At 40.4% G+C, this 19,954-nt stretch overlaps 2 protein-coding genes across 3 annotated transcripts in view; one reads left to right on the top strand and one right to left on the bottom strand.

Annotated features, from left to right (window-relative positions):
- The window catches only part of MTMR8 (myotubularin related protein 8), a 127,372-nt gene extending 122,375 nt beyond the window's left edge, over positions 1 to 4,997 (top strand). The window contains exons 13-14 of the mRNA NM_017677.4: positions 2,005 to 2,131; positions 4,035 to 4,997. Of these exons, the coding sequence (NP_060147.2) occupies positions 2,005 to 2,131; positions 4,035 to 4,541 (634 nt within the window). The 3' untranslated portion in view covers positions 4,542 to 4,997. The remainder of the gene's footprint in view (positions 1 to 2,004; positions 2,132 to 4,034) is intronic.
- The window catches only part of LOC112268307 (uncharacterized), a 106,617-nt gene that overhangs the window by 39,485 nt on the left and 47,178 nt on the right, over positions 1 to 19,954 (bottom strand). The window lies entirely within an intron of this gene.

The raw sequence follows: 19,954 nt of genomic DNA, 5'->3' as shown, positions 1-19,954 counted from the left end.
TTCATTTTCATTTCCCTTTCAATCTAAGGAGAAGACTTCCCTTTAGATTTCCTGTAAGGCAGGTCTGTTGGTAATGAACTCCCTTAGCTTTTGTTTGTCTGGGAATGTCTTGATCTCTCTTTCGTTTTTGAAGAACAGTTTTGCTACATATATCATTATTGGTTCATAGTTTTAGTTTTCCTTCAGTGCTTTGAATATATTATCCCACTCTCTACTCTCTTCTGTCCTGAAAGTTTTTTTTTGCTGAGATGTCTGCTGATGGTCCTAATGGATTTTCCTGCATATGACAAGTTGGTTTTATCTTACTGCTTTCAAAATTCTCTCTGTCTTTGACTTTTGACAATTTTATTATCATATGTCTTAGTGTGGATTTCTTTAGATTCATCGTGTTTTGGTCATTTTGGCTTCCTAGATCTGGATGTCCATTTCCTTCCTCAGATTTAGGGGGTTTTCAGTCATTACTTCTTTAAATAAGATTTCTAGTCCTTCCTATATTCTCTTGGGACTCCCATAATGCATATATTGGTCTGCTAATTAATGGTGTCCCATAGGTCCTTTAAGCTATTTTATTTTTTTATTCTTTTTTCTTTGTGTCCTTCTGACTGGATAATGACAAATAATCTGTGTTTGAGTCTGCTTAGTCTTTTTTCTGCTTGCTCTAGTCTGTCGTTGAACTCCTCTATTGGATTCTTCAGTTATTGTATTCTTCAGCTTTAAGACATCTGCCTGTTCTTTTACATTTTCTGTCTCTTTGTTGAAATTTTCATTTTGTTCATGGATTGTTCTCCTGAGCTGCTTGAGATTTTCCATGATGGATATTTCTAATTCTATGTCGGGTAATTCATATATTTTCATTAGAGTCAGTTTCTGGAGTTTTAGCTTGTTTCTTTGTTCAGATTGTGTTACCCTTTTTCTGCACGTCAGAAGAATCCACTCTCACCCCAAGTCATATGGATTGGCCTTGTACAGGAGAAGACATTCACCAGCCAACCAAGCCAGAGCTTCTGTGGGCCTTTCAACCCATTGTCCTAGTTTAAACTGCTGTCTTTGTTATTAGTGTCCCCCAGGCATCCAGAGTATGTCCAGTTTCATCAGTGTTCCTAGACAGGTGGCACAAAAGCCATTCCCTTGGTAGCTCCTGGAGAATTTAGAATGCTGTGTGCATGTTCCAACTCTTTTCCCTTCCCAGGGAGAAGCTGGGAACTGGGATTTTCCCCCTACCCTGTGTTGAGCCAGGTACAGGAGCTGTGGTACATGCCTACATGCTAGTTGAAACTGCCACTTTCTTCTCTGTAGCCCTCAGGATACTATCACATGCCAGACCCTTTCAACTCTTTGAAACAGGTGAGACAGAAGCCAGTCTTTCAGGTGGCACCTGGAGAAGTTGGGATGTTAGGTGTGCAGTCCAACTTCTTCCATTCTGAGATAGAAGCTGGGAATGGGGGTTTCCTCCTGATCCTATGGCACTGTGCTGGGAGTTGGGATTATGATGAGTGGATGTTTCTGCTTTTTCTACAGATGTTTTGTTTACAATCTGGTTGGTTTCATACTTATCCAGGGTGCAGAAGCCTCTCCATGAGTTGCTGGATTTCTCATAAAGGGAATTGATCCTTGTGTTGCAATTAAATCAGTGTATCCATTGGGGGAAGGACAGTCCAGGGCTTCCTATTCTGCCATCTTGCTGATGTCACTCCTCTCCCTTATTATTTCATAAAACTACATGTGAGTCTATAATTATCTCAAAGTAAAATCATAATTTGATTGTTTAAAAGAACCTCAAGTTTGCTCAAGTCTAAAATGTCTCCTTCAGCTGAGATTTTTCTGCTGGTATCTTTACTCTTCCCAATTATGAGCATGTCCAGGCTTTTTAATGTCATCAAATTACAGTACTCATGAGATTTTCCCACCTACTAAGCCAATATTTTCTTGGCACAAGGAAAACATTGGTAATCAATTACTCCAGCTAAACTAACCCACTTTTCCCCCCATTTTTGTCTATTTGAGGTTCTGGTGTGGGATGTATAACCGCTTTGACAAAGGGCTGCAGCCCAAGCAGAGTATGCTAGAGAGCCTCCTGGAAATTAAGAAACAGAGAGCAATGCTGGAGACAGATGTGCATGAACTAGAAAAGGTGAGGAGAAAAGTCCCAAAGAGAGATCTTCTTGCCCCTTCTGGGTAGGTCCAGCCTGCTTGGAGTTGAATTGATACTTGTGGAAAGCTGACTGGCTGGCTTTTTTATACTCTTTGGCTTTTCATGTGTCCCGTGTCTACAAATCTCTGAGCATAACTCCTTTTCTTACTTCCCAAAATGTGGTAAATATGTCACTCAACTAGATAAACAAGTGAATTTGTTCCCTTTATCTCTTTTTGGATCTGGATGGAATGAATAGGAGGAACAAGAGGGAATGACTAGGGAAATCACATAGCATTTGTTATCCATCAAGAGAATAAGTATAACATCTTGGGTATACTGATAAGAACAGTGCAATTGCTGTTTTCCAATTAGGAAAATCTTACAAAAGAAGATTCTTATTTCCTTCCCATGTAAACTGCAAACTCTGCTTATTGAGTGACCATGTTGGACACTTGTTTTTTAATTACAGGTTACAGAAGTCAAAAAGTATTTCTTGTTGATTTCATAAACTGAGCTGCTTATGAAATGTAGGAATCCCTAAGGGTTTGTTTGAAGGACAGGGGAAAGGTACCTCTTAGAAAAGAATTATTGGAAATGGTGTGCTATTTAGGAACTGGGTGTGAACCCACTTTAAGCCAGATAAGGCATAGCTTTTCTGCTCCCTGTAAGTAAACAAATGTCATTTTATTGTGAAAATAAATGTGTTGTGATTACATCAGATCCCAAACTTTTTAATGTCCTCTTGGGAGGCAACAGCCAGTTACTTGGTTCCATTTTTTTTAAAGGTGGAGGGGGGCAAACTAAAGCATAAGTTAAAATCGTAGGAAACATGCATCCCCGAGAAGGCCCAGTCCTAAGTAGATTAGATGTAGTAGAGAAACTTCTTAACGGCTCCTCTTTTAGCTACTAGCAGATTCTTCCACAAGGCCAGGGAAGGTGCCCTATTATTGACCCAGCCCTCTCACTTATCCCTGCCTGACTCTTGAGAGAGAATCAGATTCATTTCACATATACCCAGATCACTCTAGAAAGACTTCCTTTTGAAGTGTGTATGTGTTTTTATGTATGTGTGTTATTAACTTTCTTTTTTTAATACAGAGCAGAAAAACAAAGCTGCTGATAATATCACCCAGACAACCCTGTTGACTTTTTTTTAAAGGCAATATAAGTGTTAAGTTAGAAAATACAGAATACAACAAGGTAAAAAATGAAAAGTTTAAAAGACTCCCCCCACCACCTTCAGAAAAATGTATGCATTTTTCTGAAGAGAAGGTCCATAATTTTCATCAGATTTTCAATGGGGACGTATGACCCCAAAGAATCACTGTTGTGAAGTATCAGTGAATCATTATATTATCTCTGAAAGTGAAAATATCTGTTAGAGGTAGCATGATGTAGACGACAGGTCATAGACTTTGGCATCAGGCAGATGCAGGGTCAGATCTCAGTTCTTTACTTTGTACATGTGCGAATTTGGGTGACTTACTTAACTTCTCTGAGCCTCAGTTTCTTCATTTGTAAAATATAGCTAATACCTAAACTAATAGGTTTATTATAAGGATAAAAGGAAATACTGTGTGTAAAGTGCCTAGCACATAGAGGTATTCAATAAATATTAGTGATGTTTTCCCCTGCCCTCTCCCCATCTCATGAACAAAATTGCACTTATCATAAAAGATGACTTTTATAGATATAAGACCTTTGACATTCTTCAATGGTAGGGCTTCTAAAGTACTATGACATGTGATGAGGGAAAGATGTTGTGGGGGAGGGGGTGAGCAAAAGGTCATTTGCTACCATTATAAGTGACAGCAATAGGATCTCTGCAGATCAAGGTAATGTTTGCCTAGTTTTTCTCCTGTTTCTAATTCTTCTCAACCCTTTCTTGCTCCTGAGGCAGAAACTAAAAGTCCGTGATGAGCCACCAGAAGAGATCTGTACCTGCTCTCAATTAGGAAACATATTATCCCAGCATCTGGGAAGTCCTTTGACCAATCCTCTTGGCTTTATGGGTATCAATGGAGACCTGAATACCCTGATGGAGAATGGCACCCTATCCAGGGAAGGAGGCCTCCGAGCTCAGATGGATCAAGTAAAAAGCCAGGGTGCAGACCTCCACCATAACTGTTGTGAGATTGTGGGCAGCCTTAGGGCCATAAATATCTCTGGGGATGTGGGCATCTCTGAGGCCATGGGCATCTCTGGAGACATGTGCACCTTTGAGGCTACGGGCTTCTCCAAAGACTTAGGAATCTGTGGGGCCATGGACATCTCTGAGGCCACTGGCATCTCTGGAAACTTGGGTATTTCTGAGGCCAGGGGTTTCTCTGGGGACATGGGCATCTTGGGGGACACAGGCATCTCCAAGGCCAGCACCAAGGAGGCAGACTACTCCAAGCATCAGTGAGTTAGTTACTCATCTTCCATGCTAGGTATACCTACAGCAGCTACAATGATTCTTGTCCCAGAGAGGGCTATGCTGCTTTTCCAATTGGTTTAAGTGGGTGAAGCCAGGGCACCCCTCTCCCCACTTAAGTCTGGAAGGGAATTACTTTACTGATTAAGTGACCAATATGTTCATATTAAGCAGTACAGAGTGTAGGCAAGAGAAAGAATATGTTATTGTTCTAAAATGGGATTTAACTATAGAAATGTTGCCTCTCAGCTGAGACACATATTAAGCTGGTTCTACTGTCTGTTTTCCTTAATGATCGACCTGCCCTATTTTCTATCCTCACTGCAGTAATGTGAAAGTGAAGTGGAAATATTGTCACAATGGTCAATAATGACCCTTTTGAGGGTATGGAGAGATGGTATACAGCAGGTAACTGTGAATTGCAGAATAAATTGAAAGAAAATTTTACTTTCAGGTATGCTTAGTCATGGGATGTTAGCTAACATTATTGCCAATGGAGACATACAATATTTTCCTGAGAAGGAAATCAAAATGATGCTTAATTGTTAGCATGAGTGCATGGGTGCTTGGTGGTTTGAAACATGTAAGGAAAGTTTTCTTAAGTTACAACACTTGCTTTCCCCAACCCACACCCCAGCTAGGTCTTGTTATAATACTTAGCCAATTCCTTTTTTCATAGATAGCCCATAGGTAAACTTGAATCCACTACAGTCTAAAATTATAAATTTCAAATTAATGGGGTTTGAATTAGTAACATTAATTGCATCAGTTTAGGAAGTAACTGAAAATCTCAGTGCTTCAGACTCAGACTGAGACATGGTCTGTGTGCCCATCTGGGTTTGTGCAAAATAGGACCCTTTTTAGGTCTTTTTATGAAGACAAGTGGTTTTGCTTATCTAGATATCACATGAGGTTTGTAGATTTTTTAGACACAATTGGCACTACTTTTAAATCTGGTAGGTTTATCACCTTTTTTTTTTTTTTTTTTTTTTTTTGAGACGGAGTCTTGCTCTGTCGCCCAGGCTGGAGTGCAGTGGGGCGATCTCGGCTCACTGCAAGCTCCGCCTCCCGGGTTCACACCATTCTCCTGCCTCAGCCTCCCGAGTAGCTGGGACTACAGGCGCCCGCTACCACGCCCGGCTAATTTTTTGTATTTTTAGTAGAGACGGGGTTTCACCGTGTTAGCCAGGATGGTCTCGATCTCCTGACCTCGTGATCCGCCCGCCTCGGCCTCCCAAAGTGCTGGGATTACAGGCGTGAGCCACCGCGCCCGGCCAGGTTTATCACCTTGTGCTAATGTACAGTTTTGAAAAAAGTCCATTCTGATAGCAGATCCAGATACTTCTGGGGAAAAGGATGTATTTTTATTTAAACACCAGTTTTTCTCCTAGGGGTTGATACACTTGATGGGTTTTTCATCTGTCCTATTGGATATTCAGTCATGATTTTGCTACTTCCACATACTGAGAGTAGGATAGGCCTCAGTCAGTTTGGGTCATGCTCTGTATATTCTCAGCAATTCCAGAACTCTTAATGCCAACAGAATCCAGGTCTTCACCCAAAATCTGTTCCAAATACTCTATATTTGGCTTAAGCTAAAACATTAGATGACTTAAAGAGGCATCCCTTGATTATCACATCCAGTTGTGCACATAGAAATCTCTAAAGGATTACCTCATTAGGTGCTTTCCTTTGAAAGAAAGAGGTGCCTTTTAAGGGTTTAATTTAAATATAGGAGAGGAGTGCCAGGATAGCTCCTTGATTTCTTATCTCTAGCTGTAAACTGTAGACCCAAAACATCCTCTTTAGTGGAAGAACTCTAAATCATTTTGGTTGTCTTTTTTTATATGTAAGCAGGAGTCATTTTTCTATTTACTTCCTCTTGGTAAATTTTTAATTTTTTGTTTTTGAATAACTCCTAATTTATTTGGGTCTTTCCCATTAATAAATAAGGGCCATATTTTACTTACATATTCTTGATAGCTGCCTTGATCCTATAATTTTAAAGCATCAAGACGATTTCCTTTTTTTTTTTTTTTATCTCTCTGGTCCTCCTCTTTCCATGCTTTAGTCCTTGCTTTATATAACCTAAATTATCAGATGTTGCCAGTTGTCATTTGACTTCTTTTGGGAAAAAAAAATGGGGTTTGTGCACACCGTTTTAATCTGGAGGCTACATCTACTCCTGGCTTTGTGAAGGAAGTTGCCAAAAAGGATGATGGTACCAATCTGCCTCCAGTGAGCCATTCTGGATCTTGCTCCCAGATCTTTCTCCCATATCTCAATCTGTATTTTGCAGTTCATTAACTAGCATGATGTTCTGGATAGAGTGTGTTTAGTTTTCAGGGAAGCTGAAAGTAAAAAGGTAAATGGCAAGATGTAGTAGTTTTTGCAAATTCTATAAAAAACTAAAGAGTCTTGATTTATTCCTAAAGATCTGTACAGGGACAGTACATAGTACCTAATCTTATGTCTTAGATCAAAAACAAAATTAGTCAATAGTGAAAGGAAGGTCTTTTCAAAATAATTCTAAACTAAGAAGTAGTAAACCACAACCCTGGTATTTCCAAAAGCGAAAACAACATTTTTAAAAGACTGGATTATTTTGTTAATTATCTAAGGCCATGGGATCAATCTCAGTCTCAAAATCTGTGAGGTCAATTTGTTTGGTCTTTGATATTTTTATTCCCCAACATGCCACATTATTGCTTACGTATAAAATATACAGAACTTAAAAAATAAACTGCATGAAAATCAACTATTTATTCTCAACACCAAACACCTTTTAGTTTTACAGTTGGATTTAAAAATCTGAGAGAAGAAAAAGATGGAATCCAGGTATTTACACACTATTAAAAGCAGATTAGCTATCTATAGGTAGGAGCCCAGCAATAGTGAGGAGACTCTTTAAGGCAAGTTGCCAGGAATACTAGAAAAGATGATCTATTAATGGCTTTCACTTCATACTCTGATATAGCACCTATCCTGTGAAAGAAATGTGACTCCCTTCACCCACTGTCCTACCTTTCCAGTTCCCCAAGCAGAAATTCCATTCTCATGTGACTACTCTACTTAAATAGGAAGGCATTTAACCACCTGCCACTGTCATCCACTAATCTGACCTCTGCCTACTTTCTACACAAGTTTCACAGGCCTGGGGTTACTGCTTATCTTTTCTATGCATGAGGCAGGCTCTGTTCCTGTGCTTGTGACCATGCTCAGATTCTACTGTGGCCACTGTTTTAAAAATTCATTAATTATTTACTTAGTTTATGGAATGACAGATTTATCACAGTAATAAATAAAACAATTTTAAGTAACAAATAACAGCTAACAGTTTGACGTTTTAAAGAATAAATTCACGAATAAGGTTTGCTTTATGAAAGAAAACCTGAAACTCTATATAGAACTAACTACAAGAATCTAAAGCTTATGGTGCATATATTAGACATGTGTATCTTTGGAAAGTACCCTTAGAAATTATGTTCAATTACCAGCAAGTCAGTTGTCATTGCCTGCCAACATGCATGAAACACCTTTTGTCTAAGATACCCCTCACACTTCACTGGAAGTGAGACCTTTCTCAGAACACTTCTAGCCAAAAGGAATCCAAGTCTTTTTAAGAGGTGCTTTTCAAACCTAATTGGTAACTATTTAAGCTTGGTCTTAATTTAGTAGAAAGAGAAGTTTAATAACTAAAGATGATCATGTCAGTTCTTTGTTACATACTGGCTTTTATTAAACACCCAACTCTTCTTGATGGTAATTAGGCTTTGATATACTATTGGGAAATCTTTCTATGAGAGTATTTCATTAAGTGTCCTTTTTCTAAACAATTGTGTAGGGTAATGTAAATTACCTTTATGTTAAAATATCCTTCTCAAAAGGGGTTTACTGTACTCCAGATTGGTTTATACCTAGGAAGATAATTCTCACTTTATTAATTTCCAATGTGTATGATTTAGTGATATCTAAACCAAATCTTTACCCCACCTTTAGGCGTCTCACTCTGAGAATTCTTTGTATGATACAGACAGATATGATTCCAACCAAATCTGGTTGCTTTATTCTAAGTGCCAAATCTAAACCTGCCTTTCTATGTACACATTTAAAAACAAATAGAAAGACAAGGCTTAACCCTTACATGTTATTCCTTTTTTTTTTTTTAAATATACTGTGAAGAAATGGTTGAGCTGTCAGGCAAAAACAGACAAATGGAAAGATGTGAGGTCATAATGGACTCTTGTTTTCTTGTCCTTTTAAAAGCAGTTGTGATTTCAAAGTATTTGATGGTGGCATAGAAACTTTTCCAAAGCAAAAAACAAAAACAAAAAACTTACTTTTCAAGCCCTATAAAACATGTCTTCTCTGATTCCCTGGCTGTGATACTGACAGTCTTTGCCTTCCCCTTAAATAGGAAGTACTAGTATTGTCACCAGTCTTGGCAGCCCTTGTCTCCTTTACATGTCAATGCAAGTAAAAGCATGTTACACTCTCTGCGATTTGTGACTGTTTTCATAAAAGAGAAGTGTGCTTTGAAAGCAGCTGTCTCCATGCACACATATGTTTATCGTGGCACTATTCACAATAGCAAAGACTTGGAACCAAGCCAAATGTCCAACAATGATAGACTGGATTAAGAAAATGTGGCACATATACACCATGGAATACTATGCAGCCATAAAAAATGATGAGTTCATGTCCTTTGTAGGGACATGGAGGAAGCTGGAAACCATCATTCTCAGTAAACTATTGCAAGGACAAAAAACCAAACATCACATGTTCTCACTCATAGGTCGAAATTGAACAATGAGAACACATGGACACAGGAAGGGGAACATCACACACCGGGGCCTGTTGTGGGGTTGGGAGGGGGGAGGGATAGCATTAGTAGATATACCTAATGTTAAATGACAAGTTAATGGGTGCAGCACACCAACATGACATATATATATATGTAACAAACCTGCACGTTGTGCACATGTACCCTAAAACTTAAATAATAATAATAATAATAATAATAATAATAATAATAATAATAAAGAACATATTACAAAAAAGCAAAAATAAAAAAGCAGCTGTCTCATTTAGACCCATGGGTCTTGCAGGAGCTGAACAAAAATATGCTCGGAAGTTGGCATGTGTGAAACCAGTGGCTTCCATATTAAGTCTGGTGTCCTGTCTCTTGGTGCTTTTTAAAGCATTGGGGGTAACCTAAAAGCTTTTTTCTCTTCCAAAGCTTTATTAACCCTTCAACCATTTTCATGGCTTTGTACTCTTAACTTTTTAGAGGGCTCTACACCAGCCTTTACAGAATCCCAGTTGTGGAGAAGGAGGTGGGAAGGGTCGGAGGAAGAGAGTAATACAGAAATATACCTGGCCAGTTCAACAAAAAAAGTATATACCTATCCATGATTACCAGCATTCCGGTTGTTTAAAATTTCATGTGCTCCTTGAGATTAAATTGTTCACAATAAGGTCCAAAAGTCTTTTCCAAGTGGTACTGGGGCTAATATATTTTCTTTTTAAGGCTTTTACACTGGTAGAAACTGTTTCCTTAAGAATGCTGTGAGTTGTGTATTTTCTTTGTCAACATTTTTCTCTGTTGTGATATGTAGTCCTGGGTTTTCTCTTCTTTTAGAGAGTGAAGGATGACGGGTGGTATTCTCTCCCCTTAATATATCCCTGAGGCAGATCAGTCCTTATCTCTCTTTTGCTTCTTTTGCTGAAGCAACACTGGATTTCTCACCTGTCAGGTGAGAAACATACACCAAAGTCATAGATAATCAGTGTTCAAAGACCCATGTCCTCTGGTCCCAATTCACATGCATTTGGCCATACCAGTTCACATAAAGTGCCGCCAAGTCTCCACTTCACTTGCATTTGCAGACAGGGTGGTGTCTTCATTTTGTGAATGCCAATGAGAATGCAGAGCACATATTCTGTTTCTGAAGCAGAGCATGTTGTATATTATAGTTTGACAATGCCTCTGGCTTAGGAACAGCTAACAAGTTCAGTCCTTCTGGAATATAACTCATAGTATAGCTATTTGTGTGTGTGTGTGTCTGTGTATGTGTGTATGTGTGTGTGTTTACTAGAACTTTAGTAGCATCTGGTCTCATAGGTTATTTGGGCATTCAGATGAAGAAGATTTGTCCCAGAAATTAGAAACTCTTTTAGTGCTAAGCCTCTTACTTTGATATTGTCTAGCTAAGTTTAATGAGTACTTTGGGACATGCCAAGCCAGAGATACAAACCAAAGTGAAGCAATTGGCCTTTTCTCTGGGATATATTATCAGGCAGCTTTAAAAGTAAGATTCAAGTATATGACCAGTGTTATCTGTAATATGTTAATGTCAGCCACATACCTGCATGAAGATCATGCAACTGATGTATAATTCAGAATTGAACCATATAGGTTCTTTGAGAACCTGACTTTTTATTAGCTCCAGGTTTACAGACTGACACTGTCACAGCAGCTCAAGTCTGAACTTGCCAAGGTACAACAGTGTGAATGATTGACTTTAATTCCCTGTCATGTGTTTTCTTGAGCCTGTTACACCACTGCGGTATGGATGTGTGACCCAGTGACAATGTTCACTGCCAGTTGTTTTGTCCAGTGCCACAGAGATCATTGGCCCTCTACTGCAGTTGTGTTACAATTTGCAAATGTTTGGATGATACCATGTTTTTTATCCAAAATTAAAAACCTTCAGTCTTTTGCATGTGTGAGGTTACTGTGTATTAGCTACAAATAAAAGAAAAGATGGCATACCTCCAAAAATGGTACGCTGACCTAGCCTCAACAGATGAACCACCTTACAAAGACAGGATCTGCAGGTAGGTTAAAATACTCTCTGTTGATGTTAAAATAAGACAAGAAAGGTATCAGGGCACCTGGTTCTGAAGAGCACTGTCAGTGACCAGCTGTGAGGGCAAGACTGACACCAACTTAACTCACAAAAGAGCGCTGACAGTATACCAGTTTGTTCATTCACATTGGGGACAGACCTGTTTACAGACCAAGCTCTTCATCCTCTTTCAGGGCCTTCTCTCCTGCCCCCACTGCCCCCTCTCCCAGCAAGAATTCTCACTCATGAACTTGGGGGTTATTTCCTCCAGGCCTCAAAAGAGCTTCCCTCTCTGGGGACTATGTGATCTGGGCCTCTAGTGGGTAGAACACAGAGAGACCTGCGTTCTAGTCCTGGCTCTGCCATTCACTGGCCCAGTGGTTTTGGGCAAGTCATTTTCTCTCTCTCAGCCTTAGACGTCTTATCTATAAAATGGGAATGATAATTGTACCTACCACACAGGGTCGTTGTGCAAGTTAACAGAGCTAACATGTAAAGTACTACCTGGTAAAGTCCCTGGCACATAAAAACAGTCAAAATGCATTAGTCAGCCTCCTCCTACTTTCAGCCCTGATGCTGCTGATTACACTGACAAGTGCTCACTCTTATGCTTCTTTTTTCAACTCTATTCAGCCCCTTCCTACTCTTGACATATTGTCTTTAGACAGTCAGATTATAATATAATATATTATGCTAAATTAACCAATAAATCTTTGTTCATTATAGAATGTTTTTAAAATATCGAGAACCAAAAAAGAAGACATCATAATTTTTCTATGCAGGGAGAAATCTACATGCAGAGAACAAAATAGGACTGTACTGTTCACTCTTATTTAATAGTCTCACTTAATTTTGAACATCTTTCCATTTCTATAAATATAGGTTTATTTTGCTATTTTAATGGCCACATAGTATCTCACTATATGAGCTATAGTTTATTCAACCACCCTCCTATTGTTAAACACGCTACAGCCTTCTTCTATATCAAATTTCAATCTTGCCTTTCTGAGCTATACCCTATCTTCATTGGTTAGAATTCAGCAACCTGCTTTCTAATTTGAGGTAACCGCCTTCCCTGAGGTGACCTATACAGATGGGCAATTTCATCTATTCTGGTAGGATTTTTTTTAACCAACAAACTCTGTATTAGTCCTTTCTCCCATTGCTATAAGGAAATACCTGAGAGTGAGTAATTTATCAAGAAAAGAGGTTTAATTGGCTCACAGTTCCACAGGCTGTCCAGGAAGCATGGTGCTGGCATCTGCTTGGCTTCTGAGGAGGCCTCGGGAAAACTTACAATCAGGGCATAAGGCAAAGTGGGAGCGAGGCATCTCACATGGCTGGAGCAGGAGCAGGAGAGTGAAGAGGGAGGTGCTACACACTTTTAAACAACCAGATCTCACAAGAACTCACTATCAGAACAACACCAAGTGGATGATGCTAAACCATTAATGAAGGAGCCCCACCTCCAACACCGGGGATTACAATTGAACATGAGATTTGGGTGAGAACGCAGATCCAAACCATATCAAACCCTAAGGGTAATTTGAGCTCTAAATTTTCATGGTACTTTGTACAGAACATAAGCCTGATCTTGGAATTTATTCACTCTGCAGTCCCAAGGTAATGCACTGTGTTAGCTGTGGCTGAGGGTGTGGCAAGCTGGGCACTCTGAAATCAACTATGTTCACAGCCTCCTGTCATTCAGTAAAGGCCTAGTTTCACAGGAGAGAGGGTGTCAAAGGAAGCCCCTAAATGAGAAAGCACTTCTGGATTAGTCAGCCCCCTGACTTACTGTGCTTCCTTATTTGCAAAACAGGAATAATCTCTACCCTGCCAGTCTCATGCTGTGATTGTGACAACCAAGGGAAATTGCAATTTTGGAAATTTGGAAGTACTTTTCAAATATAAATTGGTATTATTAGTTTCAATCTTCAAATCCTGTCCAACTGAACTAGAACTACATATAGAAGTAAGGAACAAAATCAAGAATTAATGGAGTATGCTTTTGGCCTTTGGGAGGAAAATGCTACTTGGGTATATACGCAAGGCACAGCACAATTGAAAGGCTACCTTGTTTCTCTAGGCCTCTGTTACCTTATATTTAAGACAGGTGGTTTGAACTAGGTGATTTCTAGGAAAAGACTGAATACCTATTGAGTGGTTCATCTGTGCCAGGTCTTGGGCTGGGAGCTTTAAATATATGTTGTGTGGATGAAATAACTGAAGTCCTGTTCAAAGTCACCAAGCTAGTATGTAGGCTACTGAAACACAAGACTGACTAAAATATTGTCTATCTTGAGAATTTCATACTCTAAAACCCTATTGATTGATTGGACTTCCAGTCCAGACAAGACAGCGTAGATTCATTTCTCACTATTCCTTCCCACTAAGTACAACCATAAGGCCTGAAAATAACACAAGTGGCAACCAAAGGAGAACTCTGAAAGGTGGTATGAAGGAGAACTGTTTTGGGATCCCAGGGCTGGAGTAACAACACAGCAGCAAGATGTTTTATGTCCTGTCACCCAACAAGGTGGCAGTCCAGGCTGGGTATTTCTTGACCCCCCAACCTAACAAAAGAAGGCAGCCCAGGTAGGCTTATTCCTCCCCTAGATCAAGCAGGATTACCTCCAACAAGAGGTGAGCCTGACAGCATCATCAAGGGGGATTAATCAAGACATCAAGAACTCCCGCATTCCCCACTAACAATAAGCAGCCAGGCGAAGGGCTCTCCATCTCTACCCTTTCCTACTCAGAGACATGGGCAACCAGGAGACATCAGCAAAAGAGGCCCTGCCACAAGTGCTTATCCCAGGACGACCACTTCATCTCCACAGCCAGATGCGGACCCTGTCAAAACAAGGGACTAGGCAGGGAAGCCTCTTTGTCACTGCAAGCCTGAAAGTTCTATGCCCACCTGAGAGACATTGGGCAACAGGCCTAGGGAAACCATTTCTGCTCCCCTTAGGCAGCACAAGCAGAAAACAGGAGGAACCCCAGTGGCAACAGACAAACCAATCAGACCAAAACAGCACCAAAAGCTTTCAAAAACAACTTCCCTGGAATGATAGCTGACAAAAGTAGGAGAGGATCTGCATGCTACGGCTAAACAAGATGACTGCCTGCTAAAATAGAAAGTTTAAATAGAGACTCCTAACAGAATAGACAAAATGTCCAGGATATAATAGAAAACTCACAATTTAAGAAAAGACAATCGAGTAACGTTAACACTGAGATAAATCAGATGTTGGAATTACTAGGATTTTAAAACTGCCATCATAAAAAGATTCAAAAAGGAGGGGGAGGAGCCAAGATGGCCGAATAGGAACAGCTCCGGTCTACAGCTCCCAGCGTGAGCGACGCAGAAGACGGGTGATTTCTGCATTTCCATCTGAGGTACCGGGTTCATCTCACTAGGGAGTGCCAGACAGTGGGCGCAGGCCAGTGTGTGTGCGCACCGTGCGCGAGCCGAAGCAGGGCGAGGCATTGCCTCACCTGGGAAGCGCAAGGGGTCAGGGAGTTCCCTTTCCGAGTCAAAGAAAGGGGTGACGGACGCACCTGGAAAATCAGGTCACTCCCACCCGAATATTGCGCTTTTCAGACCGGCTTAAGAAACGGCGCACCACGAGACTATATCCCACACCTGGCTCAGAGGGTCCTACGCCCACGGAATCTCGCTGATTGCTAGCACAGCAGTCTGAGATCAAACTGCAAGGCGGCAACGAGGCTGGGGGAGGGGCGCCCGCCATTGCCCAGGCTTGCTTAGGTAAACAAAGCAGCCAGGAAGCTCGAACTGGGTGGAGCCCACCACAGCTCAAGGAGGCCTGCCTGCCTCTGTAGGCTCCACCTCTGGGGGCAGGGCACAGACAAACAAAAAGACAGCAGTAACCTCTGCAGACTTAAGTGTCCCTGTCTGACAGCTTTGAAGAGAGCAGTGGTTCTCCCAGCACGCAGCTGGAGATCTGAGAACGGGCAGACTGCCTCCTCAAGTGGGTCCCTGACCCCTGACCCCTGAGCAGCCTAACTGGGAGGCACCCCCCAGCAGGGGCACACTGACACCTCACACGGCAGGGTATTCCAACAGACCTGCAGCTGAGGGTCCTGTCTGTTAGAAGGAAAACTAACAACCAGAAAGGACATCTACACCGAAAACCCATCTGTACATCACCATCATCAAAGACCAAAAGTAGATAAAACCACAAAGATGGGGAAAAAACAGAACAGAAAAACTGGAAACCCTAAAACGCAGAGCGCCTCTCCTCCTCCAAAGGAACGCAGTTCCTCACCAGCAACAGAACAAAGCTGGATGGAGAATGATTTTGACGAGCTGAGAGAAGAAGGCTTCAGACGATCAAATTACTCTGAGCTACGGGAGGACATTCAAACCAAAGGCAAAGAAGTTGAAAACTTTGAAAAAAATTTAGAAGAATGTATAACTAGAATAACCAATACAGAGAAGTGCTTAAAGGAGCTGATGGAGCTGAAAACCAAGGCTCGAGAACTACGTGAAGAATGCAGAAGCCTCAGGAGCCGATGCGATCAACTGGAAGAAAGGGTATCAGCAATGGAAGATGAAATGAATGAAATGAAGCGAGAAGGGAAGTTTAGAGAAAAAAGAATAAAAAGAAATGAGCAAAGCCTCCAAGAAATATGGGACTATGTGAAAAGACCAAATCTACGTCTGATTGGTGTACCTGAAAGTGATGTGGAGAATGGAACCAAGTTGGAAAACACTCTGCAGGATATTATCCAGGAGAACTTCCCCAATCTAGCAAGGCAGGCCAACGTTCAGATCCAGGAAATACAGAGAACGCCACAAAGATACTCCTCGAGAAGAGCAACTCCAAGACACATAATTGTCAGATTCACCAAAGTTGAAATGAAGGAAAAAATGTTAAGGGCAGCCAGAGAGAAAGGTCGGGTTACCCTCAAAGGAAAGCCCATCAGACTAACAGCGGATCTCTCGGCAGAAACCCTACAAGCCAGAAGAGAGTGGGGGCCAATATTCAACATTCTTAAAGAAAAGAATTTTCAACCCAGAATTTCATATCCAGCCAAACTAAGCTTCATAAGTGAAGGAGAAATAAAATACTTTATAGACAAGCAAATGCTGAGAGATTTTGTCACCACCAGGCCTGCCCTAAAAGAGCTCCTGAAGGAAGCGCTAAACATGGAAAGGAACAACCAGTACCAGCCGCTGCAAAATCATGCCAAAATGTAAAGACCATCGAGACTAGGAAGAAACTGCATCAACTAATGAGCAAAATCACCAGCTAACATCATAATGACAGGATCAAATTCACACATAACAATATTAACTTTAAATATAAATGGACTAAATTCTGCAATTAAAAGACACAGACTGGCAAGTTGGATAAAGAGTCAAGACCCATCAGTGTGCTGTATTCAGGAAACCCATCTCACGTGCAGAGACACACATAGGCTCAAAATAAAAGGATGGAGGAAGATCTACCAAGCAAATGGAAAACAAAAAAAGGCAGGGGTTGCAATCCTAGTCTCTGATAAAACAGACTTTAAACCAACAAAGATCAAAAGAGACAAAGAAGGCCATTACATAATGGTAAAGGGATCAATTCAACAAGAGGAGCTAACTATCCTAAATATTTATGCACCCAATACAGGAGCACCCAGATTCATAAAGCAAGTCCTCAGTGACCTACAAAGAGACTTAGACTCCCACACATTAATAATGGGAGACTTTAACACCCCACTGTCAACATTAGACAGATCAACGAGACAGAAAGTCAACAAGGATACCCAGGAATTGAACTCAGCTCTGCACCAAGCAGACCTAATAGACATCTACAGAACTCTCCACCCCAAATCAATAGAATATACATTTTTTTCAGCACCACACCACACCTATTCCAAAATTGACCACATAGTTGGAAGTAAAGCTCTCCTCAGCAAATGTAAAAGAACAGAAATTATAACAAACTATCTCTCAGACCACAGTGCAATCAAACTAGAACTCAGGATTAAGAATCTCACTCAAAGCCGCTCAACTACATGGAAACTGAACAACCTGCTCCTGAATGACTACTGGGTACATAACGAAATGAAGGCAGAAATAAAGATGTTCTTTGAAACCAACGAGAACAAAGACACCACATACCAGAATCTCTGGGACGCATTCAAAGCAGTGTGTAGAGGGAAATTTATAGCACTAAATGCCTACAAGAGAAAGCAGGAAAGATCCAAAATTGACACCCTAACATCACAATTAAAAGAACTAGAAAAGCAAGAGCAAACACATTCAAAAGCTAGCAGAAGGCAAGAAATAACTAAAATCAGAGCAGAACTGAAGGAAATAGAGACACAAAAAACCCTTCAAAAAATCAATGAATCCAGGAGCTGGTTTTTTGAAAGGATCAACAAAATTGATAGACCGCTAGCAAGACTAATAAAGAAAAAAAGAGAGAAGAATCAAATAGACACAATAAAAAATGATAAAGGGGATATCACCACCGATCCCACAGAAATACAAACTACCATCAGAGAATACTACAAACACCTCTACGCAAATAAACTAGAAAATCTAGAAGAAATGGATACATTCCTCGACACATACACTCTCCCAAGACTAAACCAGGAAGAAGTTGAATCTCTGAATAGACCAATAACAGGCTCTGAAATTGTGGCAATAATCAATAGTTTACCAACCAAAAAGAGTCCAGGACCAGATGGATTCACAGCCGAATTCTACCAGAGGTACAAGGAGGAACTGGTACCATTCCTTCTGAAACTATTCCAATCAATAGAAAAAGAGGGAATCCTCCCTAACTCATTTTATGAGGCCAGCATCATTCTGATACCAAAGCCGGGCAGAGACACAACCAAAAAAGAGAATTTTAGAACAATATCCTTGATGAACATTGATGCAAAAATCCTCAATAAAATACTGGCAAACCAAATCCAGCAGCACATCAAAAAGCTTATCCACCATGATCAAGTGGGCTTCATCCCTGGGATGCAAGGCTGGTTCAATATACGCAAATCAATAAATGTAATCCAGCATATAAACAGAGCCAAAGACAAAAACCACATGATTATCTCAATAGATGCAGAAAAAGCCTTTGACAAAATTCAACAACCCTTCATGCTAAAAACTCTCAATAAATTAGGTATTGATGGGACCTATTTCAAAATAATAAGAGCTATCTATGACAAACCCACAGCCAATATCATACTGAATGGGCAAAAACTGGAAGCATTCCCTTTGAAAACTGGCACAAGACAGGGATGCCCTCTCTCACCGCTCCTATTCAACATAGTGTTGGAAGTTCTGGCCAGGGCAATCAGGCAGGAGAAGGAAATAAAGGGTATTCAATTAGGAAAAGAGGAAGTCAAATTGTCCCTGTTTGCAGATGACATGATTGTTTATCTAGAAAACCCCATCGTCTCAGCCCAAAATCTCCTTAAGCTGATAAGCAACTTCAGCAAAGTCTCAGGATACAAAATCAATGTACAAAAATCACAAGCTTTCTTATACACCAACAACAGACAAACAGAGAGCCAAATCATGGGTGAACTCCCATTCACAATTGCTTCAAAGAGAATAAAATACCTAGGAATCCAACTTACAAGGGATGTGAAGGACCTCTTCAAGGAGAACTACAAACCACTGCTCAATGAAATAAAAGAGGATACAAACAAATGGAAGAACATTCCATGCTCATGGGTAGGAAGAATCAATATCGTGAAAATGGCCATACTGCCCAAGGTAATTTATAGATTCAATGCCATCCCCATCAAGCTACCAATGACTTTCTTCACAGAATTGGAAAAAACTACTTTCAAGTTCATATGGAACCAAAAAAGAGCCCGCATCTCCAAGTCAATCCTAAGCCAAAAGAACAAAGCTGGAGGCATCACGCTACCTGACTTCAAACTATACCACAAGGCTACAGTAAGCAAAACAGCATGGTACTGGTACCAAAACAGAGATATAGATCAATGGAACAGAACAGAGCCCTCAGAAATAACGCCGCATATCTACAACTATCTGATCTTTGACAAACCTGAGAAACACAAGCAATGGGGAAAGGATTCCCTATTTAATAAATGGTGCTGGGAAAACTGGCTAGCCATATGTAGAAAGCTGAAACTGGATCCCTTCCTTACACCTTATACAAAAATCAATTCAAGATGGATTAAATATTTAAACGTTAGACCTAAAACCATAAAAAACCTAGAAGAAAACCTAGGCATTACCATTCAGGACATAGGCATGGGCAAGGACTTCATGTCTAAAACACCAAAAGCAATGGCAACAAAAGCCAAAATTGACAAATGCGATCTAATTAAACTAAAGAGCTTCTGCACAGCAAAAGAAACTACCACCAGAGTGAACAGGCAACCTACAAAATGGGAGAAAATTTTCGCAACCTACTCATCTCACAAAGGGCTAATATCCAGAATCTACAATGAACTCAAACAAATTGACAAGAAAAAAACAAACAACCCCATCAAAAAGTGGGCAAAGGACATGAACAGACACTTCTCAAAAGAAGACATTTATGCAGCCAA

The sequence above is a fragment of the Homo sapiens genome, chromosome X, assembly GCF_000001405.40.
Source record: "Homo sapiens chromosome X, GRCh38.p14 Primary Assembly".
NCBI classification, from domain to species: Eukaryota; Metazoa; Chordata; class Mammalia; order Primates; family Hominidae; genus Homo; species Homo sapiens.
This window is presented reverse-complemented; position numbering and strand designations above follow the sequence as displayed.